The 24,782-nt window shown below is 37.5% G+C and overlaps 1 protein-coding gene across 28 annotated transcripts in view; it reads left to right on the forward strand.

Annotated features, from left to right (window-relative positions):
* MAST4 (microtubule associated serine/threonine kinase family member 4) overlaps positions 1-24,782 on the forward strand; it is a 573,201-nt gene that overhangs the window by 487,691 nt on the left and 60,728 nt on the right. For 26 of the 28 annotated variants that reach the window (XM_024446044.2, XM_047417157.1, XM_047417158.1 and 23 more), the window contains 5 exons: positions 6,079-6,148; positions 11,514-11,592; positions 16,352-16,509; positions 18,453-18,528; positions 20,283-20,492. In XM_024446044.2, coding sequence (XP_024301812.1) covers positions 6,079-6,148; positions 11,514-11,592; positions 16,352-16,509; positions 18,453-18,528; positions 20,283-20,492 — 593 coding nt within the window. Of the gene's footprint in view, positions 1-6,078; positions 6,149-10,073; positions 10,083-11,513; positions 11,593-16,351; positions 16,510-18,452; positions 18,529-20,282; positions 20,493-24,782 lie in introns of all 28 variants that reach the window. The other 2 variants (NM_001393524.1, NM_001290226.2) reach the window with 1 other exon arrangement.

The raw sequence follows: 24,782 nt of genomic DNA on the forward strand, positions 1-24,782 counted from the left end.
AGAAACAGCTTCATGAAATGGAGACAATAGGTATCTGTGCAAGTCTTATGACAAGAAATTGACCTCTTATTGGGTCTCTCTTCCACGCCCTACATGTTTTTCTTTCTATAACCTCATCAGTCATTCCTTAGAAAACATTACATGTCCGTTTATCAACAGTCTATTGTGAAACAGTACATTTTCTGTATACTGTTGTCACTGGCAGGGTTTTCTTAAAAAGTAAGTATGTTTAAGAGCTTTGATTTAAGAAAGTTTCTTTGTCACATGGATAAGGATCCAGAATTGATTTCATGAAGTGAGTTTGGAGTTGGATATACACATCTGTATCTATCAGTAGATGTTTAGCTCTTTACATTGTGTTCACCTATAATCTGTTCTAGCAGATAGCTCAAAGCCCTGTGCATAACAAGAACTTAATAATTATTAAAGTAGAAAAAAACTATTTTCAGTTTGCTGTATAACAGGGATGAGATTAGACACTGAGAACTCAAAGTACACTTTTTGTGTATCTAGATATATAACTGGAGTTTATCCCTTACCATCACTTACAGTTATAAATTATTTAGAGAAAGAGAGAAATGGAATATTGTCTGCCTATTGTTATACTCCATTTAGTTTTACTTATCGGGACAGGAGACAGAATGATTAAAATGATCATTATCCAAACTTTAATATCTAGCCTGTAGAATTTTCCTTCTCTACAAATATTTTACTTAGCATTGTTGACTGGTTTGAATGTCTGAAATAGATTAGGGCCATGAAATTCATTATGCACTAAATAATATGAGATTTAAAAATGTTATTTGCTCTAATGTACAATAAGAAAATTGTAACGGGATTCTTAAATGTTTAGGTAGTCTAAATGTTACATATGAGAACTGCAATTAAATGTAACATCGTTACATATAATTGCATAATCGTGGACTATGAGCACATTTAATATATTTGAAATTATTTTATGTGGAGCTTCCATAAGTAAAAACGACTAAAGCTTGCCCAGGTGTTCAAGTTTTGCCCTTAATTCTCTCTCACACTGATGAACCATATTCTCCCTCAGTCTTCTCCATCTCAATTAATGCCACCATATACCCATTTGCTTCTAAAATCTTGAAGTCTTCTTTGTGTTCTTTTCCCCTTTATTCCACTCAGTTCCATTTTTCAGCAAATCCCGTTGGCTCCGCTGCCAAAACATAACAGCTCTTCAATCACCCTATCTAAATCACCATCTCTCTTACCTTGTCTGTGCTGGTAGCCTCCTAACTCATCCCCCTGCTTCCACTCTTGCCTGCTTAAAGCCCACTGGCCACAGAACAGCTAGAAGGCTCTTTCTAAAACGTAAATAAAATCATGTTATCCCTCTCTATAGAGTAGATGATTAGTAAATATTTGTTGGCTCAATCAGTCAAGCAGTGAGTAATGGTGCTATAGCTATGGAAGGGTCAATAAGACAGGGACAGGAAAAACCAAAGATTCAGGGAGCCCAGATTATAAGAAAGCCTTGATTCATTGTGTATAATTCTGTCTTTACTTGAAACTTAAGCATATGAGTCTACTTCTATTGATTGGCCTGCCTGTGAACACTTGACAACTTACCCAGAGAATTCCACTGACGGCCAATCAAGGTTTTTTTCTTGGCCACTTAGAGTCGAAACAGCTGCCCAGGTTTAATTAATAGTCTACAATTATATCTGGAGAGGAGCCAGTTTGAGACAGGTGTCTAAATGAAAGGGAGATTCCTAGCTCTCTTCATGAGTCACCTGTCTGGGTCTGGTGAGATAGACTCAAAGTTCTCAGGGGGAACGGAACTGTTATTTTAGAGTTCACTCAGGTTGAGGTTCCTGCATCGTGTTCCAGTGCCCACTTTATCTGTTGGTATTCATCATACAAGGAGATCCTAGGTTTGATTCTGTGAAGTTTGGTTTCAGGGTTTTTAAGCAGTGTCCATTTGCCAGGAATCTCCAACAAAGCAGTAAGAAACACAGCACTGATTGTTATGGTGCAAATGTCACAACTCATTTAAGGGGATCATCAAGTAATGACAACAAAGATTCAAATGGGGGCTTACTCTTTGATCCACCAGGAGTTTAAATAGCAATTATCATTAATTCTTGGATTCCTCCAGTCCTGATAGAAATTCAAGCTATCAGAAACTATCATTTCACAAACAGACAGCTATTAAAAGCACATTAATAATCTATAGAGGGCATAGCATATGCCTTTTAAAAAGATTTGCAGCTTGCTTCTATGTGGCAAAGACACAGGACTTCTCCAATCTAATTACAAAGCAATCAAACAATTTAATTAATCTGGAAATCACTTTCTTAACAATAGCTGCTGCTAAAATGAGGCACCCTGTGTAGTGCCGTTAGGTAAAGTATGTTTTTCCTACACTGTTTATGTATTAGCCATGCTAGTTCCCCAGGGGGATCATGGAGTTAATTACCTACCTAATGCCTGACCACTACTAAGGTTTACTTTACCAGGTCAGAAACATCAGCAGCGATACCAGCAGTCTATAAAGTGTCCTAGCACTCAAACATCCAAGAGCCAGCAAATCCCTGGGAGCAGCAGGATTTTAGTTATAAGCAAGTGCTGCACATATGGGCAGAGAATTAACTGGCACCAGTTTTCATTTGGGAGTCTCTCAGGTATTGCTTTGCAGATGGGTGGATGAATTCAGAGAGCAGTGCTATGAGGAGTGAAGGTCATGTATAAGACTCGGGTTTCACTCCTTCTTACTCTCATCCTGGGGAAGCACTGTGCATGTGCACAGCAGTCAAGTCCTCATCGCTGAGTTTAGAACATATAACATGTGCTTTATAATTTGGCCTGTTCTAAATTAGCAGTATTTTGATCACTGTATAACAAAATAGTATTGCTAAGTCTTCAGAGACTGAGTAGGAGTCAATTTTTATTTCAAATAAGAACAAAGACTTCAGAGATTGACTTCTACCTGCCTAATCTGCTAGTCTTATAATTCCTCCCTAAGGAAAATGGAGGAATTTCTGTAATAAGTAACACAGAAGTCTATAGAATGCTCATTGACCCTTTTCTTCTGTTACCACCACGACTCCATTTCTCTCCCAAAATTTCCTATTAGAGGGTCAGTCATTTTCCCAATCTACCCACATTGGAAACATCAGTCACTTTTTTAGCCTGTATCCTTTTTCACTCGTTTCTAATCTGCTAACGACTATGCTTGGTTTGCCCACCAGAATATCCTTTCTCTTGACCTTCCATGTCCTGGTCTAGGTCCCTCCTCCTCTGCTACTCCCCTGGCCACCCATACCAATTACACTCAGGCCAGCTTAGAACCTCCAGCATCTCTCTCTTGCCTCCAAGTATTTCTTAAAGCCTCTAACTAATCAGTACCAATAAACACAGCTCATTGGCTTTCCCAGTCTGAATTCCCTTCAGTCAGAGAAACTGTCTCGATTGCCTTGCCCTACTGTGTTTGGGTTGTTTCTGACTCCTTCCTGAAGTCACCTTCTGTTTCTCCTCTTACCTAAAACCTGCTAAACTGCCCTGAAATTGAGCTAGAGTCCCTTGTCCTTAAGGAATTATCAGTTGCTCTAGCCCACATCACTCTCACTCATTTTCTCTAATATCCTCTGACAGTTAAGAGCCTTAATGATAATTCATATGTGTATGTATATGTGTGTATACGTATATATATATTTGCATTTTAATTTAGCTTTTTGGTCTGACATGAAGCAGAAACATCTGCGATTAGTAAGATAGAACTAACACCTCTATAGTCTTGAAGTTGAAGATGTGGGAATTTAAGTTAGGTTTTACAGCAGTGTAGTAGATGAGAAGAAAATGAGGAAAATGTTCAAGCAATGGACCTAGAAAGGCAGCCTAAGATGCGAAGGCAAAATCTGAATATGGGAAATGGTTAGTGGCAGCCTTGTTTTATTTTTATTATTTTTTTATTTTTTAGAGCAGAGTTAAATTCACCTCTTTATCTATATCTCTGCCCATTCATCCTGAAGATGAAGGGTCAGCATGGGGACCATTCACTAATATCCCTAAAAGTGAAAAGGGTTTTAAGTCAATTCTTTGTTTCTTCTTTCTTCAGATTAAAAAATATATATTAATAAGCTCTCTGTATTGTTCTAGTTGATCACGTTGTAATCTCCAGGTATAGTGTTTTCTTTACAAAGAACACAGGGCTAAGAATTCGGTGCCAGGTTTCATTGGCCTTATGATTTCATTTTGAGTGAATAAGTGTAGCAGGGATTGTTCTTAGAATGTCTTGGCTTCAGATAATCAGTTATTGTGTTACGCCTAATTATTTACTGGTAGTTTGCTCTTTATGGTGTGTGAGCAAATTGAACACTTTTCCCAAATGAAAAACAAAATTTATATGAATATTTCTGGCATTAGATTATTTCCTTTAGGAAACAAAATTTTTAGCCATCTTGAAATTTGAGATTTTTAAAGGAATATGAGGAGAAGTATACAAGCTAAATTAGGGGTGTTGGGAGAGGGGATGAAGGCTATTGAGAGAAGTTGAAAGAACTTAATTTAGCTGTGTGTAGATAAATGGACAAAATGAATCCTGGATTACTGGATGGCAAAAGCAGAATTCATTTCTCCAGGGGCCCAAGGAATAACAGATGCAAAGCCATGATAAATTTCATTGCAGCAGGGGGAAAAATGCTTCATGATTCTCTATCCATAAAGAAATGGGCTTCTCAGCGCTTCCCAGTTAAATGGCTGTGATTGTGCTGTCTGTCTTAAAGTTAATGTCATTTGTTGAAGACATCACTATAAAATTTGCAACCTTCAGTTAATTGAGAAATTTCGGTAGAGATATAGCCAGTCCAAAAGTCCTCAAGGTAACACTAAACTTATCCTCCTTAATGTGTTAGTCTATTCTTTCTGCACACTGGTAATAAATTGTTTCTACCTTTACAGCCATGTACTGACTTTGACATAAAATCTTGTCTTCCTTACACCCAATTACAATAGTCACTTTCATTAAGAAACCAGTAATGTGGCAATTGGCTTGCCCTTAGGGATTAAACATAGCTTCCTGATTTATTTTTCCTTTTTCCTTTTTCTAGAAGGTACAGGATTGCTTTGCAGCCTTTCCTTGCCCACTTATTTAAACCAGCTACAGTTCCATGTGGTCCTCAGACAATTCCGCCAATCTAATTAAACATGCAGAGGGAAGCAGGGTGGTCTGGAGTGTCCTGAACTTGCCCTCGCCAGCTGCTGGCCAAGCTTTCTCAATGATCAGCAGCAGGTTGAGTGGGCTAATGGAGAAAGTAACAAGCCCCAGAGGAGCTGCCCTCCTTCCAACGAGCAATCACTGCCCCACACCACCCCTGAAGGCCTGGGGAAGATGAGCTCTGCCAGCCTTTGTGTGGCTGTGGCTTTTTGAGGCTGCCTGGCCAGTCACAGTCCAGCTGCTTAGGAGCAGAGGGATTGTTGAGGAAAATATTGACAACGGGTAATCCTGCTGAGCCACTTGGCAATGCTGAGATAGATCTGGGTCATTGAGAAATAGGTCCAAACTGCTGTGGTCTTCCCAGTGTTTTACAACTAGTTCTGACACATCCACCTTTAAAATATGTGCTTCAGAATATGAGGATTTATCTTCAGGAACTCAGACTCTTATTCATTCTACTGTAAACAAAAAGTACTAAGGCTGCCTGCTAAAATGGAAAACACCTCCAACTGAAGCATATGCTTACCCATGCATCCTGCTCATTGAAATGTTCGCATCTGGAGGGTCACAACCAAGACTTGTATATATTCATTACTCTATCAGATTGAAATATTTGTATTGTTATCTCCATGCAGGACTCCTGGTTGGTGATATAGCTGAAAGTGTTTATTCATGTGTCTTGCACACTTAGAAAGCTGTGCTGGAACTCATGCTCCCCCATCCCCATCTCCTCCCCACCGCCCACCCCACCATCCCTGGTCCAGGTAAAACTAAAGCATTATTGGAGGAAAGGACATTCTACAGAAATGTAAATAAACTTATTTCTAAGGAGAGAATTATTGATGTGGAAATGATACACAAAATCATGTAGTAAATTTCTCTCTTTTCTCTTTCTCTAGGAAATAGCCCTCAAGATAGTCCAAGAAATTTCTCCCCCAGTGCCTCAGCCCATTTTTCATTTGCACGGAGGTAAGGACTTTTTGTGAGTGGAGGCATAAGGTCTTATAGAGAGAATCCCATTTTCCTCTCCCTCTCCCCACTTCTCCCCCTCCCCACTTCTTCCCGTCCCCACTTCTCCCCCTCCCCACTTCCCCTTCCCCCCACTTCCCCTTCTGCCCCTCCCCACTTCCCCTTCTCCCCCTCCCCACTTTTCCCCCATCTCACTTCCCCCCTCCCCCTCCCCGCTTCTCCCCCTCCCCGCTTCTCCCCCTCCCCTGCTCCATGCCTTGTGAGGTCCTGCTCATTATTCTGTAAGGCCTTCTCCAAAGCCCCACTGGCCAAAGAGCTTAGGCTGCCACAAAGCTTTGTTTTAACACACCTGCTTTAACAGTTTCAAGGCAGCAATTTAGTGATCCCATTGAGAAAAAGCCATGCATGGGCTATAGGATGTTTTCTGCTTTCTCTTCCTATCATGTTTGCAATTGGGCACCAGCCGTCAAAGATAGATGTCTCATAACGGGACCACTGAGTCAAGAGGAAGTGTTTTCATTGTTCAGAGGATAGCAGGCACACAATGTCATGTCACACCATGTTCATTGTGGATTTTCTGCTATGACGTAGCCAAGTCAGAGGAGTGTGCACAGTCATCTCTTCTGTGTTCTGCATGTGAAATTTGTCTGCTTCGCCCTGTCAGATGCAATCCTTCACCTTCCTGGGCTCCTTCATCCCTCTCACATGCATAGCTTGTCCTCCTCTGCCCAGGAAAAACACCGAGAAAACAAAATGGCACCTTCAGCCAAGTTTCTGAATATTCAGGATAAACTCGGTTTATGGTCTGAATGTCCTAGATATTTGTTCAGTTTTCCTCAGAGACCTAACTATATCCTAAAGTGGATTAAAGTAGGACTTAATAAAGACATATAGGTAGGTTAAAAAAAAATACTTGTTCTTACACATGTGACTAACTAGCAAAACTTGCAGTGCCCTCACGACCGTTTGTCAGCATGTCATGCATTTTACGTTACTAAGTCTAGAAAAAAAAGTTGCGGCATTTTCAGAGTTCTGTGTAATTAAGATTTCATTATAAATCTGATGTAAAAAAGTTTGTTCTTTCATAGTTTAGTTGTTTCCCATCATGTGTTAAATGCCTTTATGTATCTCACCATGGGGACAATACAAGAGTGATAAAAACATCATCTCCAGGGAACTTATTGAGACCCATACACTGTTTTTACCCCCAGCTCCAGCTTTTCTTTTTTCAGCTTATTTAGTACTGTAAGAAAATGTACTGGTCCCAGAAAGCCTGTTTACCCAGTGAATATTAATTCATAATAGTGCTACTATTCCAAGTGGAAAGAATATCCTATAAAAATTGATAAACAAGTGTTTACTATAGTCTTTAAAACATATCTCTATAAAGGGGAGAATGCATTTAATTATTATAAGTAATAAGCAAAATGGAAATCTCATGGAGTGCATTTAAACATGACAGAAATCACGGTATCTTAATCCTGGCAGATTTATAAAAATGGAGAGAATCTAATAATTAAATAGGTGACTCAAGGACACGTGAATCTGGTTTCCATGCTATTAAAAAAATACATAACCCCCCCAGGCATGTTAATTTTTGACAAATAAACCATAAACCGTGACAGGAGATTATCACAGGAGACCTCTAGTTCATTTTGCATGAATTTCCGAATGGAACTCCCTCCACACTCTTCAAAAAGTATTAATTTAGTTTAGGACATGAGTGATCATCATTTTAAATTGTTATTCAAGTAAACAGAACCCTGTGTTATGAAAACTCAAATTGGTGTATTTTTATGTAACATCTGGGATATGTCTCTCCATTTTAGAGTTGATTTTTCCTCAGGCAACATGGAGATTCCACTCCTAGGCCTCTGTTACCTTCCATTTGGTGCACATTGCTGAGCCTTTAAGAAGTAATGTCATTTTGAGACTCCCACATTTTATTGTTTTGTAAAATTTAGTCCAATTGAGGAAATATTGCTCTGTTTTTAAAAGTAGTCTTGGGTAAAGGGATAAAAGTCTGGCTTATTAATCTTTTCTGACCTTTCTTACCTTATGTGATAATACTTCCCTAGTAGCCATCCCTTGTAACAAAATAGTCCAAGTATAGACTAGAAAGTATAATGACACAGACTTGCTTTCTATATTTTAAAATGCAGATTTGAGAGTGAAATTATCGAATTAATTTTTTACTATTAAGTAAAATAAAAGATGAAAGTGAGAACCATAGTATAGATTTTGTCTGGAGGAAGGCCACATTTTCACATTGCTAATTGTGGTATTAATTTACAATCCACCTGATTGTGGACCTACTTAATCCTTTTTTCCCTGGCGGTAAAATGGAGGTTAAAAATACTCTCGTGCCTTTCCCAGAAGTTGTGGAAGTTTATGTATTGCAGACTGCTTTCACTTTTGATGGAAACATAGAGCCCTCCAAGAAATGCTGTGAGTCTCTCCTAGTTCCCTAGTTATTATGCACTAGGTTGAATCTCCAAGTGTATTTCCACAAGCAAATTACTACAACAAACTTGCCTGCTGAGTTCAGGTCATCAGACAATTGTTGAGTACTGGGCTGGAAGTCAGGCCTACTAAAGATCATTGGCTCTGGTTGTCATTTCCAGATGATCCTGTTTTTCCTGCTCCCTTTCTGTTTTTATTCATTTGAATCTGCTGAGTCTGATCATTGTAACCTCCCAGTTACACCTTCAGAATTCTGGAGTAGATTTTAGTTATTTTAGCTATATTGGCATAGTTCAACTTGTTCCAACATCAACTAGAATATTTGGTGTATCACTCCAGGTAACTATAACAATAAATCTACTTCCTCTTCATACAGTTAGAATAGCCAGGTTGATACTGGAACTTTTCATTCTTTCTTTGTTGTATACCATATTAATCTAAATTTTTGTGAGTGGTATTGAAATGAGGGTTGTTATTTTTTTGCTGATCTTTTTTGTGTCCCGTGTTCCCATCAGATGTTTTTCCCTTCTTACTTTTTCATTTAATGTAACACCAAGATTCCCACCCACAAGGAAAAAGACTCTTTTCAAAAAAGGCTTGTTGCATTGGCAAGAATGTAGTCTTGTCTTCCTATAACATTTTGTTGGTAACTACTGCAAAGAAAAGACAACATTGTTAGCAGGATTGTACTTGTGTGATACCTTTCTTGAAAAAAGGGCATGTTCTCTCTTAAGTACTGTAGATAGCATGTATAGTAACTTCTGATGTGCAGTTGTCATGGTGATGAAAATGCAGTGGTCCTTTGTGCTCCATTTGAGTAAATAGACACAGACAACTTAGGGAACTTTATGAGTTGTAAATTATTTCTGGTCCCTGGCTGTACAGAGTACTGAGCACATTCTCGTTTAAACATCTTTCTAGTTGTGTGTTTTCTGGAGCAAGCAAATGTAATTTATGCTTCAGAACTAATAAGAACATGTCTTCTCTTGGAATTGCTCATTCATCTAAAATATGTTCATTGATAACTGAGGGGAAGGAGAGTTAATGCATCACAAAACAAAATCATGGTGGGGAGAAATTGTGTCCCTCACTCTTTCCAGAGACTAGTTTCTGATAATTGCTATTAAAGGGACTGAATAATTCTTTTAAAATCATATCCTTTTCTTACTTTATCAAATTGGAGGTGTTTAAAATATATAGTGCAGGTATGGATTCTTAACTGTTTAATAAGTAGCCAAATAAAATAATATCAACCAGTGTCCATTTAATAATCAAGTATCTTTGTAAGCATGTTATTACAATTACTTTCTTCTTAAATCATTAACATTTTCAGTTGTTTAAAAGTATTTCAAAAGAACATATAATTTATCTCAATTTCTTTTATCTGGTATATTTACATACATCTTACTTTGCTTCTTTTTTTTAACATACTTGATTCATTTGTACTCCAATCATGGTACAGAAATGACAGGTAAATTTTACTAAAATCTTAACATTGTAGTAGTTCTGTGATTTGTCCACTTGAATTTTTCCGTCTTGTCTTTGTGGACCATTTGCATTTATTGGAGGTTACACCCATGGCAGCCTATAATTTTATTTTCCTACGAATATAAATTTAGGCTAAAATGTCAGTTTTTTACGTTAACATCTAACTGTGACGTTTCTCAAATTCAAGCCTAATGTTGTTGAATTCCCTAACTTCAATTTATTGTGAATGTATCCCTGGTAAATTTTGTCCACTCTTGTCACTTGGCAAGTTAACATAATAACAAACGTAATAACACGAATTACAAAATGTCCATATATGACACTGCAATCTTATTGACCTAAAAATGCAATGTTGCTTTTTTTAAAGTGTGTTTTTCCTTTTTTTTGCCCCTTGACAAATTTGCATAGAACATTCAAAATGTTCTGTGGCTTTTAAGGCACAGTCTTGCGTTTAAAGTAATAGCTCTGGAATGCCAGAGATTTCAGAAAATTTGCTTTCTGTTGTCCCCTTCCCTTTGCAGCAGTATTGTTTCTACTGCTGCATTCACTCATCTGAGACCCTTGTAATGACCCTTATCCACAGCCAAACTCCAACTGAGAAACCACCCATTCTATCATCACTTGAAGATAAAACCACCCTTTTCATGGCTCCTGCCAGCTTTGCCTCTAAGGCTGAGGCAAACAACTTTACTCTTTGCATTAAGTTCTATCACTGGTGGAGAAGGTTTCACTCTGCCCCCACTGTTGACTGGCCAGAGCTGGGCTGCATGCTCAAAGACTCTGCAGGAGGCTTTGCTGTAACAAGCCAGGTCATGTCCGAAGGCAGTAACTCTTAAGAGATTCTAAGCATAAGGTCAGTTACTTACTTAATGCTAAAGTTATTTGACACTTCAGGCCTGAGCCAGCCATGAGCCTAATGATCCCTTCTTCCCTAAGCATGATGAGTATAACTGTTCCTTGAAAATAATAAGCAGAAAGTGTTTCGGATGCAAAGAAAGTCCCCACAGGCCCTTGTGCCATGCTGGAAGTTAGCCCCTTCCAAAGATCATTTGCTCTGGTTATCAGCTTCCAGATGAGAGTGTTTTCCTCCTGCCTTTCTGTTCTTATTCATTTGAATCTGCTGAGTCTGACCATTGTAATTATCCCTGGTATTCATTTTGTCAAAGTATATTAGTGAGACATCAATAATATGGATCAACCCATTCCCTTTCTACTTGTTTGGTTGTATTGATTCAGTTTAAATAAAAGTCAACCTACTGTATAATGTTTGTTTACCCTGACCCTTGCTGAACATTTCCACATCCTCACAGACTATGTTTGTGTCATTTGTTTGACTAAAAATACTTAGTTTCCCTGGGGTTCCCATGTGACAGTACGCCAGTGTTGGCCTAAGCTAAACTCACTTTCTCAATAGGACTGATGGACGCCGCTGGTCGTTGGCTTCTCTCCCTTCCTCTGGCTATGGGACAAACACACCCAGCTCTACGGTCTCTGTAAGTGCCTGACTTTTTTTTTTTTTTTCTCTTCCTCACAACAACAGAGCTATTACACAGGCAGTGTTTTCTCTGGGTGTTTCCTGGTAGGGAGGAGAAGATAAATTCTGCATGTCTGCCACTCTGAATAAGTGACACATCAAATGATGGCCTGACAAAAATAAAAAGGACATACTTTCGCTGCAAGCTTTTAAACTGTAGTGCATAAATTGAGTAAGTTCCAGGATCACAAGTTTGGAGGAAACTGGAAGCTTTCATTTTAATAACATTTGGTGTAGTTCGGGGGGAAAAACACAATCTAGTTTTATTGCTTTGGTTCCATGCCAGTGACATTATGCTAAAAATGCCATTGAACTTCGATAGACTGGGTCTTTCTTCCTATGTGGCTTAGATAGAGGTTTGTTTTGTTTTGTTTTCTTTCTCCTTCAAAGAAAAAAAAAAGGCAAGTCTTAATTTGTCTGTGCCTTCTAGGTAAGAACTTTCTTTTAAGAAAGAATTAAAACAACTTAGAAGAAGGTTAAGATAAATAAAGACATAGTGGAATTATGAAAATAGGATAGAGGAAAATGGATACTCTTGCCCCAAACTATAACATTTCAACAAGAGACCTAGCAATTACTGGAAACAACTCAGTAGGTTAGATGTATGTTTTTTTAGTTTATGTTAGTGATCATGTGGGATAACTGTATCTGCAGGGCTATAGAAACAAGGTGGTCATTTAGAAGGGCCTAGTAGATTGCAGGTGTTCAATATATGGAGTGATCTGGCTCTCTTTGCACCAGCAAGGAATGTGGACCTAGAGCCTCATTTTGTCAAAATCTCTGGTTTATTGTTTAGGGATATCCATCTATTGTATTTTTGATAGCCCCCAGCACTCCATTAAGCACATAGGTTTAGCCACTTAATAACACTTGAATGACAAGAAACTACAGTTAAATAGATAAATTCTAACTGGTATCACCTCTGCCTTATACTGATGTATTTCCAGAATTCCAAGTATAATAATATAACGTAGATTTTCTGGAGTACCTTTAAAACCAAATTGTTAAAAGCTGTTGGGTTATTTTTACCATCTCTTTATGGTATTTCATTGAGCAGAGGTAATTTATTTTTCTATCCATTATTCCATTTTGTTGTGATATATGAGTCTATTGTCCATTTAGATCATATTTTTAGAAACATCCTAACAACCTTAAGTAGTTTCAGAGGCATATCAGCATCAGTAAAAGATGCTTAAAAATCCTGAATAGCATGAATGAATAAAATTGTCAGTAAATAATAGTGAAGTCATCCTTGATTCTTATGGCAGTCACTATCAGTGGTTATTGGCCAATATTTTAGACGTGTCTTTTAACTCCAAATTGTTTTTTTTATTTCAACTCTGTCACCTTGCATTGCCTTCAGTCAAGTTTTATTATAACTTGGACATAGAAGTCTCTCTTTTGCAAGAAAAATAGGGGTGAGTTCAGGATTTGTATTCTTTCCATCTTTAGTAAGTCATTCATCATTTTTAAAAGTGAATCCATAAAAAAAGGTGAGCTACATAAAATCAGACCCTGTTTGGTACAAATAATGTTTAAAATAATTTTGTTTTATAAATACTTGTTATATGCCAGGTGCTTGTCTAAATTCTTAAAATGCATTGGCTCATTTAATCTTAGCAACATCCCCTATCATGTAATTGCTGTTGTTTTTTTCATTGTATGGGCCAGAAATCTGAGGCACAGAGAGACTGTTTAACTGAGTGACTGTTTACTGTTCCCTTGTTTTCTCAGTCAGAATACGGTAAGCAGTTTTAGAACCCAGCATCTTGGCTCTTTTAAAGGAATTTACATGGCATTTTTTCAGATAAACCTTGTAATTAATAAAGCTGACCTGGTCGTCAGTCAAAATGAAATCGTTGCTGTCTCTAAATTCTGTATGTGCCTACGGAAGACACCCCCAAGACCATTTTTAGTCATACACACATACTTTGTGTTTCTAACAGCTCTTCTCTGAAGTGTTTATTTTATTGAAGACGTTAGTATCATATAATTATTAGGCTCAATATTCCTATTTTTTCCTCCAAAATGAAATTTTAGCTTCCAGAATTACTCCTTTTGCCAATAGAGAGAAGGAACTATTTAGATGACGGACTGCAGGTGCTGTAGTGTGAAAGTTCAATTATTTTTTTCTCCTTATTGATTGTTGATAAAAGTGATGAGCGAAAACTAGGAAAGCTACTTCTCTATTTTTCTCAGTTTCTTTGTGTTTCTATTCTTTAAATATTAGGGCAAAAACTGTGTAAAACTTCTTAGTAGTTGCAGGTTTTTCTTTTCTAAAGCTAAGCTGAATCACTCTTAGATTCTTATTTCCCTGGGTTAACTGTTAGTCATTTAGCCAATCAGAAATTTACTTTAACTGTTTAAAAAATCAAAATGTAGAATATATACGAATAAAATTGCAAGCATTTTGAAAATATAGTTTAAACTTTACAGATAATTTCAGCTGTTGTCTGAGTGCCAGACTGAAATGTAAACATTATAATATCTGTATCCTTTGGCTATTATGGAAACTGCAAAATTGCTAAATGTTAAAAATGCTATATTCGGAAATTTGAAAGATTTAGCCAGATGAAGTAAATCAGTCATCCCAGAGAATATTCAGTATTGTGGTTTCTTGAAACATCACAGTTTGCAGTTAAAATTAATTTTTGGACCTTTTCCAATGTGATATTCAGATAATTCTTAATTTTGAAATAAGTACTACAGAATTGTATCAGTAGGAAGACATTCTCCCGTATGTTTCTTACCAGATAAATTATTTTCTGCTGAAAGTACAGAAATAAGAATATAAATACTCATAAAAATATGAAGTATGTCTATCAAATGATATGATTTAATAAAAAGTAGAAACTTGTATGTGCATATGAATACTATCCTTTGCAAAATGGTTACCTGGAGAGACTAAATGCTTACTGAATGATATCATGACTCAGAACATGGTTTTGGAACTCTAATTGCCTGAAGAACTAGCAGCATAATTTTTTGTGTAAATCTTCATTCTTTGGACCCTTCTCTGAAGTCAATAGATACTGTTCCTGTGCAAGTACAGTTGCATGGTATCTTGAGCCTGGTGTGTTTTGGAATTTTCACTTTTAGAAAGGCAACATCCCTGTTCTGTACATAACAGACCAGCAACAGTGGGGCCAGCTGCTCATAATCAAATATATTAATATTTCTGCAGCAGTTTGAATCAACATTCATACTAAGTAGATTAAATAAATATTTTAAACAGCTTCCCATCAGTTCAGTTGGTGCTTTGCCACCAAAAGAGATTACTGTAAACTTAGGAACAAACTTCTGAGTTTGTGGGTTTTGAAATCTTGGATACAGGATTGTGGACATTGATTTACCTTTGAAACATATCTATAGATTCTTAATTCTGTTTGTCTATTTGCTAATTTCCTTATCTTTCCTCTTATCACCACTGCTTATCTCCTGCTTGCATTGATTTTATTTTATTTTTTTCTTGATTTCTTGACTTGATTTAGTTCATGTGTTTTATTTCTTTTTTCTTAGTGAGAAGTGTTTAAGGCCATGACTATACTTACTGAATACAGCTTTGATTTATCTCATAAGTCTAGTAGTGCTCTCATTTTTTTATTGCTTGTAAAATAATCTCATTACATTATAAAAATTCCTCTTTGTCTCAATATGTACTTAGTAAGATGTTTTATAATTTCAAGTTATAGGAATAATTTTTAAGCTTTAGGCATTAATTTCTAGTTTTGCTGCATTGCAATGTTTCAGTATTTATGAAGGATACTCTTAATATAATGATTTTTAAAAAAAATGCTTACTAGAACTGACATTTTAAAATAAGTAGTATCTTTCAAAATACGCTTATTCTAACCATGTTTCCATTTACTAAAAAATTTCTGAGTCTCTTTTATTAGAATTACTTAAGGAGTTTACCTCTGACTGAAAATGAAAACAATTAGTTTCTTTGCTTTTTAGTTAAATGTTTCAGATTGATTAAAAGCAGGGTTATTTAGCTGTTCATCTTTCCTGTCTTTCCTTGTTCCAAATGTTGAATGACGATTTTCAAAAAGCAAATCTACAGGCATGGAACAAAAAATTCACCACCACTTGAAGGTTTTTTTTTTTTATTTTAAGTTATAATCTCAGCCCCCTACTCCCTCCAAAGAAAAGGAAGAAAGAAAATTCAATTCCAGATTTTAAGACAGTGGCTTTATTGGGAAAAGGATCTTCTTTAATCCCTCCCGTTTTACTCATGCCACACACTGATGCATTGTAAAGAGAGGTTTCATTGCCTTATTGACGATCTCATATCATACCATTTATTTCATGTTATTTACCTAAAAGTCCGCATTTGATTTTGAGCAGCAGTAAACTCGGGGGTGCCATGTTCAGTTGAGAACTAATCTGTGATACAGTGCTCCCTAATGTCACTCCAGTGGTCGCTTTCTTGCTTTGGCTTTGACTGGTTCCGATCCATTTTCAGAGCCTGGGTTTTCTCCAGAGAGAAAACTATCTTTTGGGAAATTATAAACAAATGAGGCAAAATATGGAAAGCATTTTGAACTCTGAGAGAGAACATCAAGTTATACATTTAGGCAGTCGTTCTTATAACTTTAACATGAAAAAGAAACAATAAAAATGGTGGTATTGTCCAAGTTTAACTCATCGATCTCTCCTGTTCATTTGAAGAGTTTCTTTCTGAGGTAGTTATGTGACCTCACTTTGGTTTTTTTCAGTCATCCTGTTCCTCCCAGGAGAAGTTGCATCAGTTACCATACCAACCAACACCAGACGAGTTACACTTCTTATCAAAACATTTCTGTACCACCGAAAGCATCGCCACTGAGAACAGATGCAGGAACACGCCGATGCGCCCCCGTTCCCGAAGTCTGAGGTGTGTGGGCCTGGCTGAAAACCATTACTTAGTTGGATTCTCTATTTTCAAACATTTTGAGTGAACACTTCGGTCCTTTAGGTCATATGTGTGTTAACTGACTTGCAAACTATTACAAATATAGTGTGATGTTTCCATGTACACATAATATTGTTAATTACCATTGAAAGGCATCTTATAAGTTTCCTTTTCAGTTCTCACAATTTGCTGATTGCAGCAGTAGTAATCACGATGGTCTTGGGACTACCTATGAAAACATCTAGCCACTGGAAATTTCAAGGCAGTGCAAAAGCAGTTAATGTTGTTATGTTAAGAGGCAACAGCTTCGTGGAAATAGAAGGACAACAAGAATAGGAGGATTTTTTAAAATTCCAGATTCCATATTACAAAATATCTTTGTTCTTTCTTCCCATCGTAAGTCTTACTTTTCTCTAAGACTGTGAACACATTTTTAGGAGTTTGTGTCACCTGAAGTTTGTGGATGCCAAATGTAGTCCACCTAACACTGGGTAGGGCCAGTTTTACTGTGAGTTTGTTTCCTCAGGAAGCAGAATCTAAAACAGAGCTTCTTGTTCAGCATGTTTCTTAGGGAGTGCTTTCGAAATTAGCACCTGTGGGAGGGAAGGGAGAGGCAGGATTGGACAGAGGGAGAAGTCCAGCAGCCTTAGCCGACTCCATGGAGAGCTCGGGAACGACAGGACTCAGCAGAGTTGCTCCCCTGGGCCAAATGCGACTTCTTTTATATCCCTACCTCAGTCACTGGGTCCCTCACTGGATGTGGCACCCTGGGAAAGACTCAGCCTCAGGCGAGATGACTCCTTGCAGCTGATGCCATCCCTGCAGGGACTGGCAGCTGAAGGTTTCTGTGGATAGCACTCCCAGAAGCCGGGCAACAGGTCCTTCTTTGAAGGAGGGATCAGGATAGGGCATCACTTATCCGCTGCAGTATGAGATCTTTATGCTATAGAATTAGTGCACTTTGATATATTAAGGTTTTATTATATTAAAAAATAGCTTATTTATTAGGCGGTCAGTTGAATATCAAAGTTTAATGAGAAGCAATTTCCCTTTGTACTTTTTGTCTTTACTTAGTCTCATAAACTAATACTAAATATAGCCACACTGGATAATTGTGAGACATGTTAGATTATTCTGAGATATGGAATTAACAGCTGGTTTTACTATTTCATCTACAGGCACCATGTTTTACTACATTGGTGCCATTTTTTGTTTTATTAAAGGAATTCCTAAGGTGCGTAGTATAAGCTGTATCCACTTAGGAATATAAACACACCGAAGTTGCACAACTATATATCACTAGGAAGGAAGATAAACCTACTATTGAAAGAGTAAAGAAGAATGCACAATAGTTGTATGCCTCTGTTTCATATAATACATAATGCCTACCTCAGCATCCTAGATAAATATTTGCTAGGCTAGAAAATGGATCTCAATTATGACACCTGTGCCATGGAAGACTTTCAGACTTCTTCAGTGATGTGTGGCAGACCGCAGGTGTATGATAAAAGTGTGAAATTATACTGTTAAATGTGTCCTAGATGTTGCTCTTTGTAGCTATCCTATTTTATTTTATTTTGCAGTTTGTTAATTGTTTTCCAGATCTTATGCAAGCTCATACTACATGCAGAATATAATTTCAATTTACAAACATTTTCTGAACTAGTATTGTATTGTAACTATGATGATTTTGTGGCATTCCACTTCTTGAGCTTTCTTTTTCAGTCCTATTCAGAGTATCTTTGTGTTTATGGGAATGTATGTGTGCATGTGTACTAATGACTGATTTTGTAGTTTATTATCTGATATACTTTTCTTACAAAGGTTGCATAGTACTTTTGATGCAACTGACTGTTTATAAATAAAAAGCTTATTTTCATTTCATGCTGTGGCAAGTTTAAAAGGGTAATTTGCTTTGCTTGCAGCCCTGGACGTTCTCCCGCCTGCTGTGACCATGAAATAATTATGATGAACCATGTCTACAAAGAAAGGTTCCCAAAGGTAATGAATTGAATTGAAGATGCCTAGCATCTAAACGAACAGGCACCATAGGTTTAGAGTCTGTAAGGTTGTTTTGTTATAGGAAGTAAGGGTCCAATCTAGTAATGATTTGCATAAAACAGCTCCATAGTCTTCTTAGAAAGAGAAAATAACTAAAAAAAAATGTTAAGCTAACAACTGCTGAGAACTAGCTGTGCTCTACGTGTGCTGAGCTGGCTCTAAAGTGAACCTGCCACTTGTGCACCACACACGGGGTGGGCCTGGTGAGGTGCCGTAGGGAGGGTCTACTTTGAAAGGCCTCTAGACTGTGCACTCTGTACCCATATTCTGGGCCTGCTGCCACATTGTTAAGTAGAGACTGTTTTTCTCCGTTAGAAGCCTGTAGATTGGTGTGTCATGAGAGTTGCTGTTGTTGTTGTTTTTCCACATTACTTTTCTGTGATTTCCTATCTCTTTAGACATTGTATTTCTAAACCTATTAATTTAGAAGAGAAGGCACAGTTGTCGTGTTCTCCAGTTAGACTGGTAAAGGAACATGAATTGAGAGAGCAATTGTGAAGGGCTGCTGCCAAGCCCCTGGCTGCAAGGACCTGCTCTCAGATGGTCCCATTAGCTCACCTTGTTTCCACGTCTTTCCCACCAAAGCATTTCTGCACATTTGGGAGAAGGCCCCTCTCCACGTTTTTCCGATCCACCCCCACAGCCTGTGTTGCCCTAAACAGGAGAACAAATGAAAATCTTTGGTTTCATAAATCAAGAGTAGAGTACTTATTATTTGCAACTAACCCAACATTGATGTCATTGATTAAAGCTGTTTTAGCTATTTATCACATGTCACTTGCTCACCAGGGAAACAGATACTGACTGTTAACCTAGTTAATGCAGGTTAGGATATTAGAGGGGAGGAGGAGGGAGGAAGGAGAGGGAGTCTCCCTGCATATATAATTAATGTAAGCAAGGAATATGGATTAGGCAGTGGGTGACCAGAGAGAATGAAATGAAAGTTGGAAAGGAAATTTTAGATTTATTTTACCAAGGGAGTCCCCTGGGACTTTTACATAGGATGTAGCTTTGTGGCAAAAGAAGATGATATAAGATGTGTGCTCCTGGCACATTAAAACCTAGCCCGAAAGATACATTTTTAGCTTAGGTTGTGGAACTCTAGCAACAACCTGATGTTTAAGTACAAAAACATAAAGAAATGTTTGATATTTTGGACAGTCCATCTGAAAGAGCCCAAGATCTTAAATGAAAGCGTAACAATTCACAGATACAATCTGAGTTACTTGAAGAAGCTTACAGAGACCATTTTACATTTGATAGAACACAGAAAAGGGAGATTATCATTCTGAAATGTTGATTTCACTTATGTACCCTCAGATCTGTATTTCACATGCTGAGGCTGCTGCTTTTTTATAGCAACTTTTTAAGAACAGTTTTAGCTTCACAAAAAAATTGAGCAGATGGTACAGAGATTTCCCATGTACCTGGGAAGGCTATGCATGAATGCCCCCAACATGCATTAGGGTTCATTCAGCCTTTGTGTTGTATAATCAATGGGTTCAGACAAATGTCTGATGACATGTATGTACCATTATTTTATCAGAAGTGAGGCTTCTTTTAAATTTGATTTCTAGAATCCCATTTAACAACTTGTGGAGGTCTCTGAAAATGCTGTAAAAATGTGATGATTGAATTGTTTACATGTGTGTTTCCTCGTATTACATCTGTGTATGTGTGTCTTCTCTATATAGGCTACAGCTCAGATGGAAGAACGTCTAAAGGAAATTATCACCAGCTACTCTCCTGACAACGTTCTACCCTTAGCAGATGGAGTGCTTAGTTTCACTCACCACCAGATTATTGAACTGGCTCGAGATTGCTTGGATAAATCCCACCAGGGCCTCATCACCTCACGATACTTCCTTGAATTACAGCACAAATTAGATAAGTTGCTACAGGAGGTAAGAACCATGTACCATATAGTTTTCTGATTTATTTTGCTTTTCCCTGAAAAAAATTTTTTTTTGCTTACAAGTTATAACCATGAAATGGAGTTCACATTCCAGAGAAGCAAAAAAGAAGGAAAAAAAAAAAAAAACTCACCTGATTGCTACTTGCTATAAATTGATTCTGGTCTTTATTTATAGTAATAGAAAATTAATGTAATAACCTTTACAGGAATCTTAGGACCCAACAATCTATGACTCTAGGATAAGTGGATTGTGAAGGATTTTGAAGCAGTGATTTTTTCCCCCTTTAACCATAAAGTTATAAATTGCCTGAGCGTATGTGTGTTATTTGATGATGCTATCTAGTTCTATATCTGAAAAAGCTAAATGGAAAATTGCTGGCTTCTTCCAGGCTGTGTGTTCTATTAATTAACCTGCATGTGGTGTTGAGTAGTGAATGGCAACCTATATTTTCATTAGTGTCAGTTCTTCTTCTAACAAAATATCCAATTTCCAAAATGACAGATAAACACAGGACCTGTCTAGGCCTAACACTTGCATGCCTAGCACTTGATAACACCCAGGACAGGAAGAGAGTCTGTATGGGGGAATGGAATGCATGTATAATATTGCTCTTCTGGCTGAAATTGACCAGCCACAGCCTAAAATGAAACCTATTTAGTCTATGTATTTGTATATATTGTATTTTTGTATCTCACAGGGCACAAATTATGCCTTTGCAAACATAATTATAGATAGTTTTCTCTAGACATGAATATGTAAATAATTGCAGAAAACTGAAGGAAAATATTAGCATCCTAATTTTTGAGAACTCTATCTATCCTTGCCCCTGCAGAATTTAGCTGGCGAGATAAGATCCTTCTCTGGCTGGCAGCCGCTGCTTTTCTCCCCTTTGCCCTCTAGGCCTTCTATACTCTTTCCCGATTTCTCACATTGCAACCAACTGCAGTCCACTGATGCAGTCCCTTTCAGACTATCCTTAGGGTGAACACATTGTTTTGGGGTTTTTCTGTTAATTTCTAAGTTGGCATGGACCTGTTCTCTCCCATAAACTAAAAGGAAAATGAATTTTACAGGAAAATGATCATGCACTTGGGTTTCCTGGCAAAGTAAAATTGCTAAATGAGTTACATTACAATGTAAAATTGCTGTAAGAGTTGCCACGTGCTTACGCTTAAAATTGTATTTATCTCATCACGCACAGATGACATCGTGGACTGTTCCCAGTCCACAGGCTGCCCTTTGACTTCTCTACACTAGAGTATAAAGTCTCTGTGGACAGGGATATTATCTGCTTTGTTCACCTAGGATGGTGTGTGACACATAGAAGGACTTTAATATTTTTTGAGTGAATGGCTTCTGATACCCCTCAACTCACTGACATCCTCCTTATTGTCATATCCACTGGACATTTTACTGGAATATTACTGTATTCAGCAGTGTTAAAACCCTCCTTTTCTCTGCCTTCCTTTTAATTTATTGTTCTTGGGACATCTCTGACCATTTCTTCTCTGCCTCTTCCAGGGATTTCTCTTCCAACTCCCGTTTTCTACAAGTTTTCTCACGATCTCATCTTTAGTCTACTCCTCCTCCCTCTCTCCTAGGGATCTTGTCAGCTGTCTTGGATTAGAGACCTATAGACTCTAATGGCTTCAAATCCTTACCTCAGACCAGTAGTCATCTCTCACATTTCAGAATCATGGATCCACCTGCCTACTGAATATCTTTCTACCTGGGCAGCCCACTGAAGCAGCAGTCCCAACCTATATAAAACTAGACAGCATTTCCTCAACCACACATGCTTCTCCCACATTCTTTTCATCCATCATTGGCACTGCCATCTATCCAGTCACCTGCTAGAACTCTGAGAATACTAGACTCCCTCTCTCCCTTCATCAAGCAACCCATTAGACCTTCATAGTTTACTTCCTAAATATTTCTACAACCCTTCTTTCCTGTTCTATAATCACTACCTGGCTCAGACCCTCATCCAGCTCAGACCCTCATCCTCACCTATCTGCCTCCCTCCAGTCTTAACTCTTCAAATTCATACTTTTATGCAGCTGCAAGAATATCTATCTAAAACTCTTTATTGGCTCTATCTTGCCCATAAGTAAAACTATAACATGGCCTGTTGCTGTGCCCTTCCTCTCAATGCATTTAGCCATAATGAATTGTACTGACTTCTGTGGTCTCACTTTACCAGCAGACAGGGGGCTCTTTGAGCAACAGGAGTCACCTCTAACTCCCTGGTACTGAGTTCAGTGCCTGGTGTTTATCGGTTCCTCAGAAACCATGGAAGGGAGGAAGGAAGAAAATAGATACAACTGCATGCCAAAATATTCAACCTATTAGGATGTATCAAGTAATCTAATTCTGCTGTTGCTTTAATCAAATCAGAGTCCAGAAAATGCTGGAAACACTATGCATATTACTATTTATGAGAATATTTTGAAAGTTATGTTTGCTAAATGGTGCACTTTTGAACAGAAGAGGCAGACACAGGAATTCTGTAGTCAGCCTCTGTGAGATACTCCTAATTCTGCAATTCTGTCCCAGGATATTACCATAGTTACCAGCTTAGTCCTGTGTTTTTCATTCCTTTATAGGCATGCCCTGAAAAGGGTAGGATTGCTATCCAAAGCTATTTACACTGAAATCCCCTACTTAATTTTGTTTCTGTGACAGACACTGCAGATTTTCATGACAATTAAAATAAAATCTTACGGTTTCACAGATCATGTGAATGGGTCCTGTTACTATTTTTAAAATATTGATTTTTAAAGAAATTTCTTTTTTGGCCAGAGAAGCATGTATACTTGTGGCATAAAGGTCTTGTTGGGCATAAATAAGAATGGTTTCTTGTTTAGCTTTGCAGATAAAGAGCTTCCTTCAGCCCTTTTGTAAAAATTTAAACTATTTGCATAATCACATTTACAGTATTTTTCCAGAACTTGGAGCTAATCCATTGCAGAGGGGCCTGCCCTTTTTAGATAGAGCCAAATTGTGAAACTTGCCTTGGTTTCCCCAGGATGCAGTTGTCAGTTCCCAACTGTGACATTCTGTGCTCTGTAGGCCTATCTCCTAACCATTTTTCCCATTGTCTGTCTTTTGCATAACCCAGGTAAAATCCCCCTAAGGTTTGAGCAGCTTAATGCCTTTTTGAAGTCCTGAGGCCTAAGACAATTCCAGATGAATGCTTTTATGTCTCCATTCTTTTTTGCACTTAGAGAAGTTTAGCCAAAGACAATAAAATACATAGGAAGCTCTAACCTACTCTCAAATCTAGGTCATGGTTATGTTTTGTAGTGGCCAACCCTTAAAATACAGACACAGGGTATCCGTTAGTGTTTCCCCTTTGGAGCTTGCTGGTAACAGCCAGGAACAAATTTCTCTTCATGGGCTAATCGTGTCTTTATTTTGTGTTGTTTTAACAGGGCTTCTTCTCCCCACTTAAGTTATTAGATAAAATACTGTTTGAGTTAATGTAAATTATATGTTTTATCCTTGATTATGGCTGATTATTCTTAGAACTAAGAAGGTAGAATAAACTGATTATGATTTTTGAAATGAAATCTATTTAATCTAAACTGACTTTTTAAGTTTATTAAGACACAAAATTCTCATTTCTCTTTGAAGAGACAATCCAAAATGTGTTTAGGCTTTTCAGATTTTCTTTATATTCCTGAATTTATAAACCAAAAATGATTATAGTAAGAAGAAAGTTCAGTATCCTTCCCAAAGTGTCAACTAAGAAGTTAGGTGTTTTTTTGCTTCATCTTTAAAGTTTTCTGTTTAGTTTGGTTGAGGATAAATCATAAAGAAGATGTAACCGTATTTTTTGGCATTCACTGGATCTTCCAAAAATCTATTTTTGTTGCAAAGCAAAAATTGGGAAGAAAATTTAAAGACAGTTTCAATATTTGAGATGTATATATATGTGCATTGTTATATATGTCCTAACATCCTTCCTGGTTACTAGGACCTGTCGTTATAGTTACTAGTTGGTGTTCTTTGAACACTTTCTGTTCTACGATTATTCACCAATGGTCATTTTTCCTTTTATTTTAATGTCAAAAGTTAACTGTTTTACTTTTGCCTGTATATGGTTTTTGTACCTGTGTTTTGGAAAATGGCTTTTAATTTGATGGCTTAAATTCAGCAGACATATTACTTCTGAGTACAATCATTTTTTATAAATTTGATCTCTGCCAGTTCTTTTCATGGGGTACGGGATTGTTCCTTGTCATGGTAAAGCACCTTCAAGAACGATTGTAAATG

The sequence above is a fragment of the Homo sapiens genome, chromosome 5 (assembly GCF_000001405.40).
Source record: "Homo sapiens chromosome 5, GRCh38.p14 Primary Assembly".
NCBI classification, from domain to species: Eukaryota; Metazoa; Chordata; class Mammalia; order Primates; family Hominidae; genus Homo; species Homo sapiens.